The sequence below is a fragment of the Homo sapiens genome, chromosome 16, assembly GCF_000001405.40.
Source record: "Homo sapiens chromosome 16, GRCh38.p14 Primary Assembly".
NCBI classification, from domain to species: Eukaryota; Metazoa; Chordata; class Mammalia; order Primates; family Hominidae; genus Homo; species Homo sapiens.
The window spans coordinates 49512057-49524617 of NC_000016.10; the positions used below are offsets into that span (position 1 = coordinate 49512057).

Below are 12561 nucleotides of genomic sequence, written 5' to 3' on the forward strand. Positions count from 1 at the left end.
TACATCACATTATATTATATTCCACAAACACATAACAAAAATTCTGTTTGTCCTTATTAGCTTACTTTCCCCTCCCTGCAACATGTGAGGGGCTTAGTCTATGCCTCTGTTTGTCCCCAGCACCTATGCACAGCTGGCACAGATCAGGTGCTTAGTAAACACTTGCAGGCTAGATTGAGCACGTCCACACATGATTGATTGAATGAGTCAATGAACGCATTAACAGAAAGCCCACCACCTCCAGACCACAGGCAGGGCAATGACTAGGGCTCACCAACCTTTGACTCTGACCCAGACCCAATGCTGGGAGCTTTTCAGGCATCACTGCCTTCAGCTACCCCAGTACCAAACAAAGAAGGGCTCTTCAATAACCCTGGTCTCTTGAAAGCAAGAGAATGCCGGTGACTTGCTTATGGTCATGGAGCTGCTTGGTGGCAGGGCTGGCATCTGAGGCCAGACTGTGAGCTCCACAGCATGGGCATGGCATCGCCACAACATGTGGTCACATTCAGTAGAATTCAGGCTGTGCTGGGCTCTGGTTTCCTACCCTAGTGGGGAAGGCAGGAAGCATAAAGTGATCCTATTGGAAAAGGGCCACAATGACCCTCAGCAATCCTTCTATCCTAAGTGCTATAAAGTGCTTTACACATGCGAACTCCATCTTCACAACAACCCGAGGCAGCAGGTCTTACCCCATTTAACAGATGTGGAAACTGAGCCCAGAGAAATACAACATCTGCAGTAGGAAATAATGGGCGGCTGGGCACGGTGGCCCATACATGTAATCCCAGCACTTTGAGAGGCCGAGGCAAGTGGGTCACTTGAGGTCAGAAGTTTGAGACCAGCCTCGCCAACATGGTGAAACCCCTGTCTCTCCTAAAAATACAAAATTAGCCAGGCATGGTGGTGGGCACCTGTAATCCCAGCTACTCGGGAGGCTGAAGCAGGAGAATCACTTGAACCCGGGAGGCGGAGATTGCAGTGAGCCGAGATCGTGTTACTGCACACTCCAGACTGGGTGACCGAGTGAGACTCTGTCTCAAAAAAATAAAAAAGAAAATAATGGGGATTGGGAGACTTCGGGGGGTCAGCAGCCAGCCCAACTCTCAGCCCTCCCCAGGCTCCTGGCCTCACAAGTGGCTGACTCCAGCGTGAGCAACAGGTTCTCACTCCCTGGAACCACCACTGGGTGTCAGCCAGCAACTTCAGGCCACACCCATCTGGGCCCTGGTCTCCCAGCAGAAGTCAGGTTGACAAGGATGGGGCCATCTCTAAAGCAGGAAGGAGGAAGATGCCGCTACTCACAGAAAGCGCAGCCAGAGTCAAATGCTAAGTATGTGCCTAGAGCACTTTTGATTTTTAATTATTATTAGTTATAATTATCTGGCTGGATCCAACAGCAGCAGTACAAAGAGACAAGGAAACTGGCTCTTTGGTTACCCATCTTATAAGGACCAGGGATTTTAAAAATGGGCTCCCGGAATCTGTGGGTTTCCCCTTCTTCCTTTTCCTCCTTTCCTGCTTGTGTTCTCTTTCCGACTTTCCAGGAGCTCAAAAAATATGTTAACACATATGGGGATGGATGGATGGATGGATGGATGGATGGATGGATGGATGGACGGACGGATGGCAAAGGGTGTCTTCACTCTCCAAAAACTCACGTCAGAGTGGAGAGTTTGGTGTAGACGTAGTGACTTACAATCCATATGGCCAACGGAATCAGGGGGGTTAAACCAAGGGCTGGAGAAACCAAAGGAAGGAGAATCCGAGAGGCTTCTCAGGGGAGGAGGCACTGGAGCTGGGCTGATGCATTAAGAGAAAGAAAGGGTACTTCCTGCAGGCAGATAGGCAGGTGTACGTGCATCTAGGAAGCCCCATCTTGATCTCACTGGGTAGGCGATGCGAGGCCAGCCCAGGAGAATAATGCAGGAAGGCAGTGGCCGTCTGTCCTGCTTGCCCCTCTAGTCCCTCTGCCTTTTTATTCTGTTCTGAGAACACCCCAAATCTGCTTGGGCCTCAGATACTTGGTACTGGCTCTTCCCTCTCCTGGAGGATCCCCCAGCTCTTCCCCACACTGGCTCTGCAACCTCCAGGATTGAGCTGAAATGCCAGCCTTTCCTGACCACCCAACACACACACACACACACACACACACATGCACACGCACATGCGTACACACACACGCACACGCACACACACACACACATGCACATACACACACCACTCTCCATCACAGTACAGCGTTTTCACATTCTGAAATCCCCTAGTTCATGTATTTACTGACTTATCATCAGTGTCTCCCAAAGCATGTCAGCTCCATGAGAATAGAAACCCTGTCTCCTTGTTCCCAGTTCTGTCTCAGGCTCCTGAGGTGGTGCCGGGAGTAGGTACTCAGTAAATGGAATCAGGGCAAGGGCTGAATCAAATGTTCTCAAGGGCTAGGAAGGAAGGGTCCCAAGGGAGCTGAGATCCCGCCCCTGTCTCAGAGAGCTCTCCCTCTGGCCGGGTACCAGGACCCTGCCTGGCAGAGCCCGGCTCACCCTATCGAAAGGGCTCCGGGTTGCTTGTTAGAATACCTAGCTCTGCTTTTAATCAATTGTAATCATTTAGCTGGAAGCAGCATGATTAGGCACACACAAGCAAACAGCATGAGCTAATCCTTTAAATGCGCCCGCTCAACGCTGGGCTGGCCGCTTTGCCACCGCGGGCCCGGCTCACGGAATCACTTCCTGCAGCCCCTGGCTTTGTCAATGAGGGAGTCAAGATTCCAGGGCGTGGCGCTGGTCCAACACCCCAAAACCATCTTCATCAAGGACATGTGCATGTGTGCGTGCACACATACACGCGCTGTGAACTCTGACATGCCCTGGCAGGCAGTGCCCCACAGCTCCAAGATCCCAGAAGTTCTATGTCTAAAAAGACATCTCTCTAGTTCAAGTTCTATTCCCCCATGACAGGACCAAGCAAGTCATAAAGGGGAGAAAGGTGGCAGCACCATGAACCTGAGGTCTTAGGAAGTCCCTATCTCCGTGACGAGAATGAATCCTTCCTCTCCCCAAGCCCAGCCTAAGCCAAACCCATCCTGATGCTCATTTGCAAGCAACAGGGTTTGCAGGGTCCTGGCCTCGAGCTGCAGCCTGGCAAACGTGGCCATGCACAGCCCTGGCCCCGCGCGCACAGGCCCCATGGCGTTCCCACCTGGGCTCACCCAGGAGCAATTTTTCTTGCATCCCCTGTTACTGCTACTTGTGCTACCTGCTTGGCCCAACTACTAAAATAGTTTCTGGGTCCCCTGACAACGAAAGCTTTTTATAGTTCAGCACTGCAGGCCTCATTTAAATCTATTAGCTCATATAAATGGCAATTTATTTAAACTTTGGAGGGTTTCTGTTTGCCTTGGTGGCAAAGACAATCCAGCTTTATGTGTGGCTCTGCCATTTGCAAATGACCCTCGGCAAACCGCTTAACTTCTCAGAGCCTCAGTTTCTGTATCTGTAAATGGGGATGAGAGTACCTTGTTCATAGGGCTGTACACAATCCATGCAAAGTGCTCAGAACAGAGCCTGGCCCGCAGCACAGACCTAGGGCCCAGGGGTGAAGGCCATGAGAATTGTCTCTGGTACAATTTCAGGGGAGCTTGTCCACTGTCTAACTCCAGCCCTGTATGGCTGGTAAGCCGCATATGACCCTCATGCACGCATCCCCACAGTGAGGATGAAGAACAGGAAGCAGCAAGGCTCTTAGGATGGGGAGATGGAGGCACCATCCGTGCCCAGTGTCTGTGGGCACAGAGGTGCCCATGGGGATGCAGAGACAGCTGGGCTGGTGGGCAGAGGCGACCCCTCCCCTCAGGGTGGCTAACCGCTGGCATGGGGCCGATAGGGCCCCAGGCCTTCATCTGCTGAGGCCTGAGGCTGGGAATGCAAGGCCAACAGCTCTGACATTTGCGGGCTGTCTTGCACCCCCAGTCAAATCTACATACCACCCTCCACGGCGCCCGGACGTGGCTCAGAAATAGAGGGTCCTAAGAAAAGAGCCCAGGTCAAAGGCGCTCAGAGAAGTAGGGGAAGGGGGACCCGAAGCCCCGGCCCTCTGGCCTCCATTCCATGCCCTTTATGCCCCGTCTCACTGCCCTGGGCACCTGGCTCCTCCCAATGCCCCAATGTGGGGTCTCCTGTGCCCACAGCCCTGAGGCTTGGTGGGATGCCACACAAGGAAGGACTTGGAGTCTCACTTTGTTCAAACTCAGGCTGGAAACCATGAAAGCAAAGCAAACTCCAAGGAGAGGGAATCCCCAAAGCCATCTGATCCTCAAACTGCCCAGAAGTCAATGTCAATAATAATCACAGGCAGCGTCTGCTACATGCTCTGTGTGCCAGCCACTGTGCCAAGGGCCTTTTGCAACTGAACTCTTAAGTAGGAACTACTCACACCCCTGCCTTACAGGTAAGGAAACTGAGGCTTACGGCTGGTGCATGACAGAGCAAGGTTTTAAATACGGAGCTGCCCTCACAAAGACTGGGCCGCTCCCTGCTTCACTCTTGGCAGCATTTCAGACACGTGCATTGTTTGCACACTTCTACCGACAGGGACCTCAGCACTTTCCATTTCTGGACAGTTTTCCCGCATACTGCAAATGCTCAGTGTCCATCCAGGTCATGCACCCCTTCCCTGAAAAGCACCCTGAACTTGCTGGTTTGTATCATATGATCCTACCCCCAGCCACAGCTCACTGGAGCAGGGTGGACAGCTGACCCAGGCTCACCTACCAGATTCCCCCTCCAGGGATCTAGCACCTGTTGCCTGAGGGCTGGCTGCCACCGCTGTCACTATCTCTGGGGTTTCCTGGGTGTTCCTTCTGGCTACCTGTGTCACCAATCCTCACACTAAATCCTCTCTGTTGAGCTACCTAGGGTGTCTGTCTTAGCAGAATTGACAGGAGCTGTGGAACCTTGACCACCTTCCTCCTTGTACAGAGGAGCCCAGAAAGTCAGGCTGTAGAGAGAGAGGACAATAAAAGCCAGAAAGAGGCAGAAGGCAGGGACCAGGCAGTCTTAGAGAAGACAGAGTGTAGCTGCCTTATTTAAGTGACACTTGGCTCCGGGAATAGGGCTGCCAAAAACCCAACATTGCTTCCTGCTCTTAGCATCCAAAATCCACTCATGTCCCTACAGCTTAATTTCCCTTCTAGCTTGCGCCAACTGCAGAGAGTGATGCCTGAGCCATGACTATCCAGGACCAAAACCCCTGTTCTGAGTTGGCGCCCACTGCCAAAAGTCTTGGAGCCACCTGAAGCAATAAGAACCCCTCCAGGACCCAGAGTTCTTAAAATGCTCGAAGACAACTGTCCCTGCATTTCTTCTGCAATCCATCCAAGTCTTCTCCTGGTTAAACAGACTTAGGACAGACTCCTGGAAGCACCTCGAGGTCAGACTGGATCCCCTACTGCCTGGGTTTTCAAGGTGTGGGGTGAGCGTGGGCAGGTGTATATGTGGGTGAGGGTACAGGTATATGGACAAAGCTTAGTCTCCCCTATTTCTTTTTCTCTTGCTTTCAAGTCATAGGATTTATTTTGTTTTGTGAAATTGAAAGCTTTAAGCCATAACAAAATGAGAGAAAACTTTTTTTTTTTCATTGTTAGATCAGGCCAGTTAATGGTGAGTTTCTTGGTAATATCCTTTCTCCACCCTATGGCTTCGAAGTTATCACTTGGGCTACTTTAACTCTGTGACTCGTTGTTGTTCCTGCTGCTGTCTTCTGAGATAGATATGCTGCTTACTGTTCCCGCTTTGCTCCAAAATCTCTTCATTTTATTCCATTTAAGACTAACAATAGCAATTAAAATGAGCAAAGGTAAAAAAGAAATGTAGAAACTGATCAAAAGACCATTGTTTTTAGGAGCAGCACGTCGTTTTGGAAACAAGGTACACTTTTTTCTACCGTAAGCTAAAATCCATCATTAACACTTCCTCCTGGTGATGATATTGGCGGCTCACAATCTGGAGGAGCATAACCAGGATCACACTGACAATGGAAAAGTTCATTGCAAGCCCTATTCTCTCTGCAATTTATGTTATATCTTGTTATATTTATGTCACTAAGATATTTGCATCCTTGGAATCTACATAACCTGTGTTGACCACATGCACTTGTAGCTTCTGCATAGGTCCCCCATTATTTTGAACCATTTCTTGCATGTGCAGACAAACATACATGACCCCCAAGGTAAGTATATTGTATATCAAAGTCTGTCATTGATACTGTTTCTGAATGTGTCCAGTGACAATCTTTCCACAAAGAATATCATAAAAATGACAACGGGAACCACAGTTTCCAAATTTGTCATTTAGAAAATTCACTTTTTCTGTACACAGAACACTAGCAGACTTAGAAAATTTTCCAAATAACTGTGCGCACTGTCTGTCCCTATCTCTGCATTCTCCTTTAAAGCAATATCTAGTCTTATTGCTGCAGTATTCTAAATCAGCAGCTTTCACATCAGTTACACAAAACTCAGATGTTCCATTGCAAAAAAAAAAAAAAGTCTCCCCTATTTCTTCCCTGCAACTCCGACCTTCAGCCACTGACAACTACTGGTCTGTTTTCTATGGCGATATATTTTTACCTTTTTCCAGAATGTCATGTCAATAAAACCATACAGCATGGAACCTTTTGAGTATGGCTTTTGTCATGTGACATTTGAGATTTATCCATGGCACCAGGGACAGTGGCTCACGCCTGTAATCCCAACACTCTGGGAAGCCAAGGCGGGAGGATTGCTTGAGCCCAGGAGTTTGAGACCAGCCTGGGCAGTATCATGAGACCCCACCTATAAAATTAAAAGTTAAAATTAAAAAATTAGCTGGGTGTGGTGGTGTGCACCTATAGTCCCAGCCACTCAGGAAGCTGAGGTGAAAGGATGACATGAGCCCCGGAGGTTGAGGCTGCAGTAAGCCATGATCACACTCCTGCACTCCAGCCTGGGTGACAGAGCCAGACCCTGTCACTTAAAAAACAAAACAAGATTCATTCACATTGTAACATGTATCTGCAGTTGCCTTTTACTGCTGAGAATGTACACATGACCTGTACCAATGTAACACATGACCCCATCTGTTACCCATCCTCCAAATAAGGGACAACGAGCAGGCCTCCGGTTTGGGGCCATGACAAAGCTGTTATCATCATTCATGTAGAGGTATTGGTGTGAGTGTAAATTTTCCTTTTTTTCTTGGGTAAACACTAAGAGTGGGATTACTGGGTCTAACGGTAAATGAACGTTTAACTTTATAAGAAACTGACAAATATTTTGTCACATGGCCATACCATCTTGCACTGCCACCAGCAATGTGTGAAAGTTCCTATCCCGCCCTCACCAACTCTCAGCATTGTGAGTTTTTCATTTATGTGGGTGGCATCAGGCTATGGTTTTCACTTGCCCTTCCCTAATGACTAATGATGTTCATTTTCTTTGGTGAGACATCTGCCAAAAGATTTTTGCTCATTTTTTAGTTGTTCTGTGTCCCGTCTCATTATGGAGTTTTGAGAGTTCTTCATATAGTCTGGATACAAGTGCTTTATTCGATATGTGATTTGCAAATATTTTCTCCCAATCAGTGACTTTTCATTCTCTTAACCATGTCTTTCAAAAGCAAACTTCTTACATTTTGATTCAGGGTGTAAATCAGATAATATCTGTCCCCTGCTTGGTTTCCCATCATGATGGAGATAAAATCCAAAGTCCTTCACTGTCCTGAAAACCTTGCCATGATCTGGGCTCCACTGCCTCTGCCCCAATTCACTGTGCTTCAGCTGCACTCTGCCTTCTGTCATCCTAGCCCTGGCACCCAGTGGCCACAGGGCCTTTGCACTCACGGCTCTCTTCCACACAATACTGCCTTCATGCCATCGGGCCTCAGCTTGCATGCCACCTCCTCGGGGAGGCCCTCCCTGACCACACTTACCAAGGAGTGTCTGACTTCAACCTCCCAGCATGCTCTAGCCCATTATTTGGTTTTATTTTTTTCATGTCATTGGCTCTTATTGGAAAGTGCCCATCAATCCCCTAGAATGCAGACCCCGTGGGTATTTCTTCATCTTTTCACCACTGTCTTCTCAGGTGCTAGAAACAGGGCCTGGCACATCATGGGCCCTCCACATACTTGCTTCAAACAAATGAATAGGAAAGCTAGTTCCCTCTCATGTTCCTAATTATTCGGTTGTGAATTTGCAACAGTTTGTCTAAACTCCTTTGAATTAATCTCAGTCTTTTGGGCAGAGCCCTCCGAACTTGGAATCAAAGAGGACTCACACCTCCCTTATACTGGCAACTGTGCTCCTGTTAACGCAACCTAAGAAAACATTACGTTTGGAGGGAGACATGTCAATGTTGACAGAGACCAAGCCTGTCATGGTTCAGTTCTACCTCCTAAACTTCTATTCCTGCAGCAGCACTTCCTGGTCCTGCAGTGAGCTCAATCCTAAGCCTAGAATCTTCTCAAGACCTCTCAGCCCATAGTCCCTTGTGCCTGCAAATACCAGGTGCCTGGAATTTCCGTGCATAACCTCAAACTACACAAGGCCACAAGAAACCAGCAAGGATAGAACTCCAGCTGGCCTTGCCTCCCACTGCCCCACCCAAACCCCCAGCTCATTCCAAGAAACAACAGCACACTTGCCTGTTCCACCCAACCAGGGCCTTCCAGCCCCAGCTTCTGTGTAGGGACAATGAACACTCCAATGCCTGAAAAACCCTCCTCTCAAAAACGAGAAAATTGCTATTCAAGTTACTTAACGAGAGCCATTATTTGCATAGATTTGGCATTGCAACAACACTTCCGTATTTAAACGGTCTATAATTAAAATCATTAATTGCAGAAAATAGTGACTCGTTAAGGCTGTAATTTAGCGGTTTCTCAGTATTTGAGGATCTGACTTAAAGCTTAACGGGATGACCCAGGAAACCACCAGCTCACATGAACCGCTCTCAGGTCAAGTGTGGCCCACAGCTCGAGATAGGTGGGATCGAAGCAAGATCCAGATTGAAAGCAGCAGCCTCCCTCCACCTCTGCACTTATGAGCTAGGCCCCCAGCCCAGTGACACCAATGAAGCTCAAAAACGTCAGGATGGGAAACCTTCTCTGGGAATAATCTTGAGGCCATCAGAGAAGAGACCTCTTGGCATTTGGGACAATGCAGGCGAGCCAGGCAGGAGCTGAGCAAGTTCAAAGTGTAAATAAATCGTAGTTTATATGCACTCACGGGTTTAAAAGAGGCCTGACCTGTTGGGCTATAGAAAGCCTCCTCTGTCAGGATACCCAGGCCTATTTTGGTAGCTGGGCCACTCAGGTAAGGCAGGTAGGATAAGGCGGCTGCATGGACTGCACTTGGGAGAGGGTGCGCATCCAGCACACGAGCAGGGAGGCTTCTTGGATGGCATCAACGCCTAGCTGTCGCCCCACACATCCTAAGCACAGAGACATCAGCTCAGTTTGTGGATCAATGGGGAGACAGCAGTGGCATGGTAAGGGTCACTAGCTCAGTGGTGGCCTTTTGGAAGTGGAACCCCCTCTCTGGGCCAGGTCTGTATGATTGGTTTCATAACTCTGTCCCACGTTGTGACAATGGGATAAAGGCCTCATGTACAATACACAAATTTATGAGCACCGTAAGGATGAAAAGAAACAGGCTTTCCACCACACCAGCTGGGTGCTCCTCGGGGCCAGCCCTGAGCTCAGCCTACCTAGCCCTGGCATGGGGCCAGCCTATGGAAACAGGACTTGACCATCTAATGGTGAATCCCCCCGGTCCCCACACCCTCCAAGGGCCTGTTTGCATATCCTCCAGGCAACAGCCACCACCAGCTGTGCAGACAGGCGGGCCCAGGCCTGGCAGTGTGGGTGGGCCACAGCACAGTAAGAAGGGGGCCCCCTACAACAGGCCACAGCTGTGCCCCTCTAACCCCAGAGGGGGAGGCACCACTGTGGCCATTCAAGTGACTCTGCATGGTGTAAGTGGCCCCAGCCTTGTAACCTGGGTATGTGGGAGATTGCTGCATGCAGGTGCAGCAGTGGCATGGGGATGAGGGAGGGTGCTGCTGGGTGTGTAGGGTCCCCCCTGGAGGGCCAAACTGGTGTGTGTGAGTCCTTAGGGCTCCCTTCTCCTTCCAGGCAGAGGGTGGAATTCCCTGCCTCACCCGCTTTGAGGTTGGGCATGCCCGCGGGACTTACTCTAGTCAACACAATGTGAGAGAAGGTGGCGTGCATCATTTCCGAGGGGAAGCTTGAAGTGCTGGTAGAGAAGTCACCACCTCCCTCTTCTCCCTGCCTCAGTGACTACGGAAACGTGGATGGGCATGGACCCTCCGTGGGCCTGGGTCACTAAGTGAATATTATGAACAGAGTCTCTTCCCCATCACCTGCTTGGATATGTCACATGGGCAACAAATAAACCTTTTGTTGAGGACACAGAGACCGAGAGGAGGTTTGTTATTGCAGCCTAACCTACCCATATCCTTCCCGACAGGCTCATTCTTGGTATGTGACATTTCGGCATGTCCGTCTATGTGTATGTGTGATATATCTGTGGACATGAGTGTGGTCCTTCTTTTGGGGGTGCAGTGTTGTGCTGCATGTGTGCGGTATTCCTCAGGGTGGATGCAGTGTTACTCTTTGTGACATCTCTGGGCATATACACTGTGATAGGAACTGTGTGCGTGCACCTTCCCTTTGTGTGTGTGATGCTATGGTCCAGGTACAGTGAATGTGAGATTTTTCTGTGTACGTGTGTTGTATTTCTGGTGGGCATGTGATCTCTCCAGTGTTGCAAGAATTTTTTGCAAAAACCAGTGGGAGAGAAAGCAGTTTCACTTGGGCACAGATCTTGTTCCTTGGAAAAACCAGTAACAGGTGAAATGGGGCCCCATGGGATTCCAAGGCAGGTGGCTGTGAATGCCTGGGAAGACCGTCACACCAGCTTCCTTTCCCAAGGTCCTCTCAGTTACCACAGGCTGGGGATGAGGATGCAAGGAAGTTGGCTGAGGCCCCTGTCCCTTACCTGAGGGCCACATCAGTCTCAGGACCTCTGGTGACTGCCTCTAAGCTGGGGCAATCGGGCACCACTACTCTTCTTTTCTGGCTTTTATGGACAAAACTGGAGGCTCCAAGGCCCCAGACCTAACTCCTGTTCCCACACAGCCCCAGGACCCAGCCACAAAGACATCATGGGCTTCTAGCCACAGAACCAAAGCTCAGTGAAATATCATTTTACAATAGAGGTAGGGAAATTGGAATCCCCAAGAGCAGACAGGACTTGCCACGAAACACCTCAAATGTAAGCTTCTGACTCCTGCTCTGGGCTCAGCCAGTGGCAGTTGGTTCTTTTGAGAACGCTGGGCTGGCAGAGGCCAGGGGGCTGAAACTCCATGCCTGCTAGCCAGGAGGTCAGCCCCTGATTGCAGACCTGCCAGCATAAGACTCCACCAGCTTGCCTTAACCCTGAGACCGTCGGTGCTGACGGGGGAACCGAGGACCATCAGGCGGCGTGGTGCAGCGGATGTGGGCACCCACCTGCAGCTCGGTCTGGAAGAAGAACTTCTGAGGGCACTGTGAGCAGTCGTAGATCTTGTCCTCCTGCCCGTGCACGGCAAAGATGTGCTGCTGCAACTTGTTGGCCTGGACGAAGACTAGACACAGACACGGCTGTCAGGGCCAAGCTCAGGACACCAGCCCAGCCTCCTGTGGCAGCTGCCCCCACAACACTCGCAGGCAGGGATCACTGTGGCATAGGTACAGTCAGCCAAACAGTGGGCTACTGGGAGTGTTCTTAGCACATACTAGAGGAGGCTCAAGTTAGATAAGCTGAGCTCCGGTACTTAGTGGCTGTGCAACCCTGGGTAAGTCACTTAACCTCTCTGGGCTCCATTTCCTCACTCAAAAAATGAAGATTATAATATGTCCCTAGCTGGGTGGCTGGGAGGATCAAATGGGATATTGATAAAGTGCTTAAAAGATGGCCTGCCACAGACAAATGAATGCTGTCTTCCTCGTCCCCATCATCAACAGCCAGACACCTACAGGGGTGAGCTTCTTGAACCCCTCCCAGGCCTGTAGGACAGGTGCTATTATCCCCATTTTATACAAGAGAAAACTGAGGTGCCAGGAATGTTAAATGGCTTGTCCAAGGTCCCACTGCTAGCAAGTGGCAGAGCCTAGACTTGAATTAAATAAGCTCAGCACAGGGTCTTGTACAAGAAGTTGCTCAACCAACACAAATTCCTATTTTTATTGTTGTCAGCATCCTCGGGCCCCCACACAGAGGCCCCCATGTCCTGGGTTGGCAGACGGGCAGCTGGGGCCCTTCAGTGCCAGCCTCAGAGTGTGGCAGTGACAGATGGGTGGGGGCTCCTGCGATGAGGGGGAAGATGGCATCAGGGTGCTCAGGGGCTCTGGGGAGCCCCAGGGGTGTGTGTTTGGGGGATTTGCCCCAGAGTGGACACCCCTGGGCCTGGCATGGAGAAGGTCTAGCCCTGGCTTCCCAGTGGCAGGAGTTCTGAGGTGGCCC

The 12561-nt window shown here is 50.2% G+C and overlaps 1 protein-coding gene and 1 pseudogene across 16 annotated transcripts in view, besides 1 other annotated feature; both read right to left on the bottom strand.

Moving 5' to 3' along the window:
- ZNF423 (zinc finger protein 423) overlaps window positions 1–12561 on the bottom strand; it is a 371756-nt gene that overhangs the window by 24533 nt on the left and 334662 nt on the right. For all 15 annotated transcript variants that reach the window (XM_047433809.1, NM_001379286.1, XM_047433808.1 and 12 more), the window contains one exon: window positions 11568–11683. In XM_047433809.1, the coding sequence (XP_047289765.1) occupies window positions 11568–11683 (116 nt within the window). The remainder of the gene's footprint in view (window positions 1–11567; window positions 11684–12561) is intronic.
- On the bottom strand, window positions 5590–6529 carry ADAM3B (ADAM metallopeptidase domain 3B (pseudogene); annotated as a pseudogene). Its single transcript, NR_144553.1, has one exon. The product of NR_144553.1 is annotated as an ADAM metallopeptidase domain 3B (pseudogene) (transcript).
- Window positions 11468–11967: an enhancer, noted in NCBI's record as "H3K4me1 hESC enhancer chr16:49557435-49557934 (GRCh37/hg19 assembly coordinates)". NCBI's record gives its function as "activates a minimal SCP1, AML or CMV promoter by ChIP-STARR-seq in primed H9 embryonic stem cells {active_cell/tissue: H9 hESC(primed)}" and the evidence as "EXISTENCE:reporter gene assay evidence [ECO:0000049][PMID:30033119]".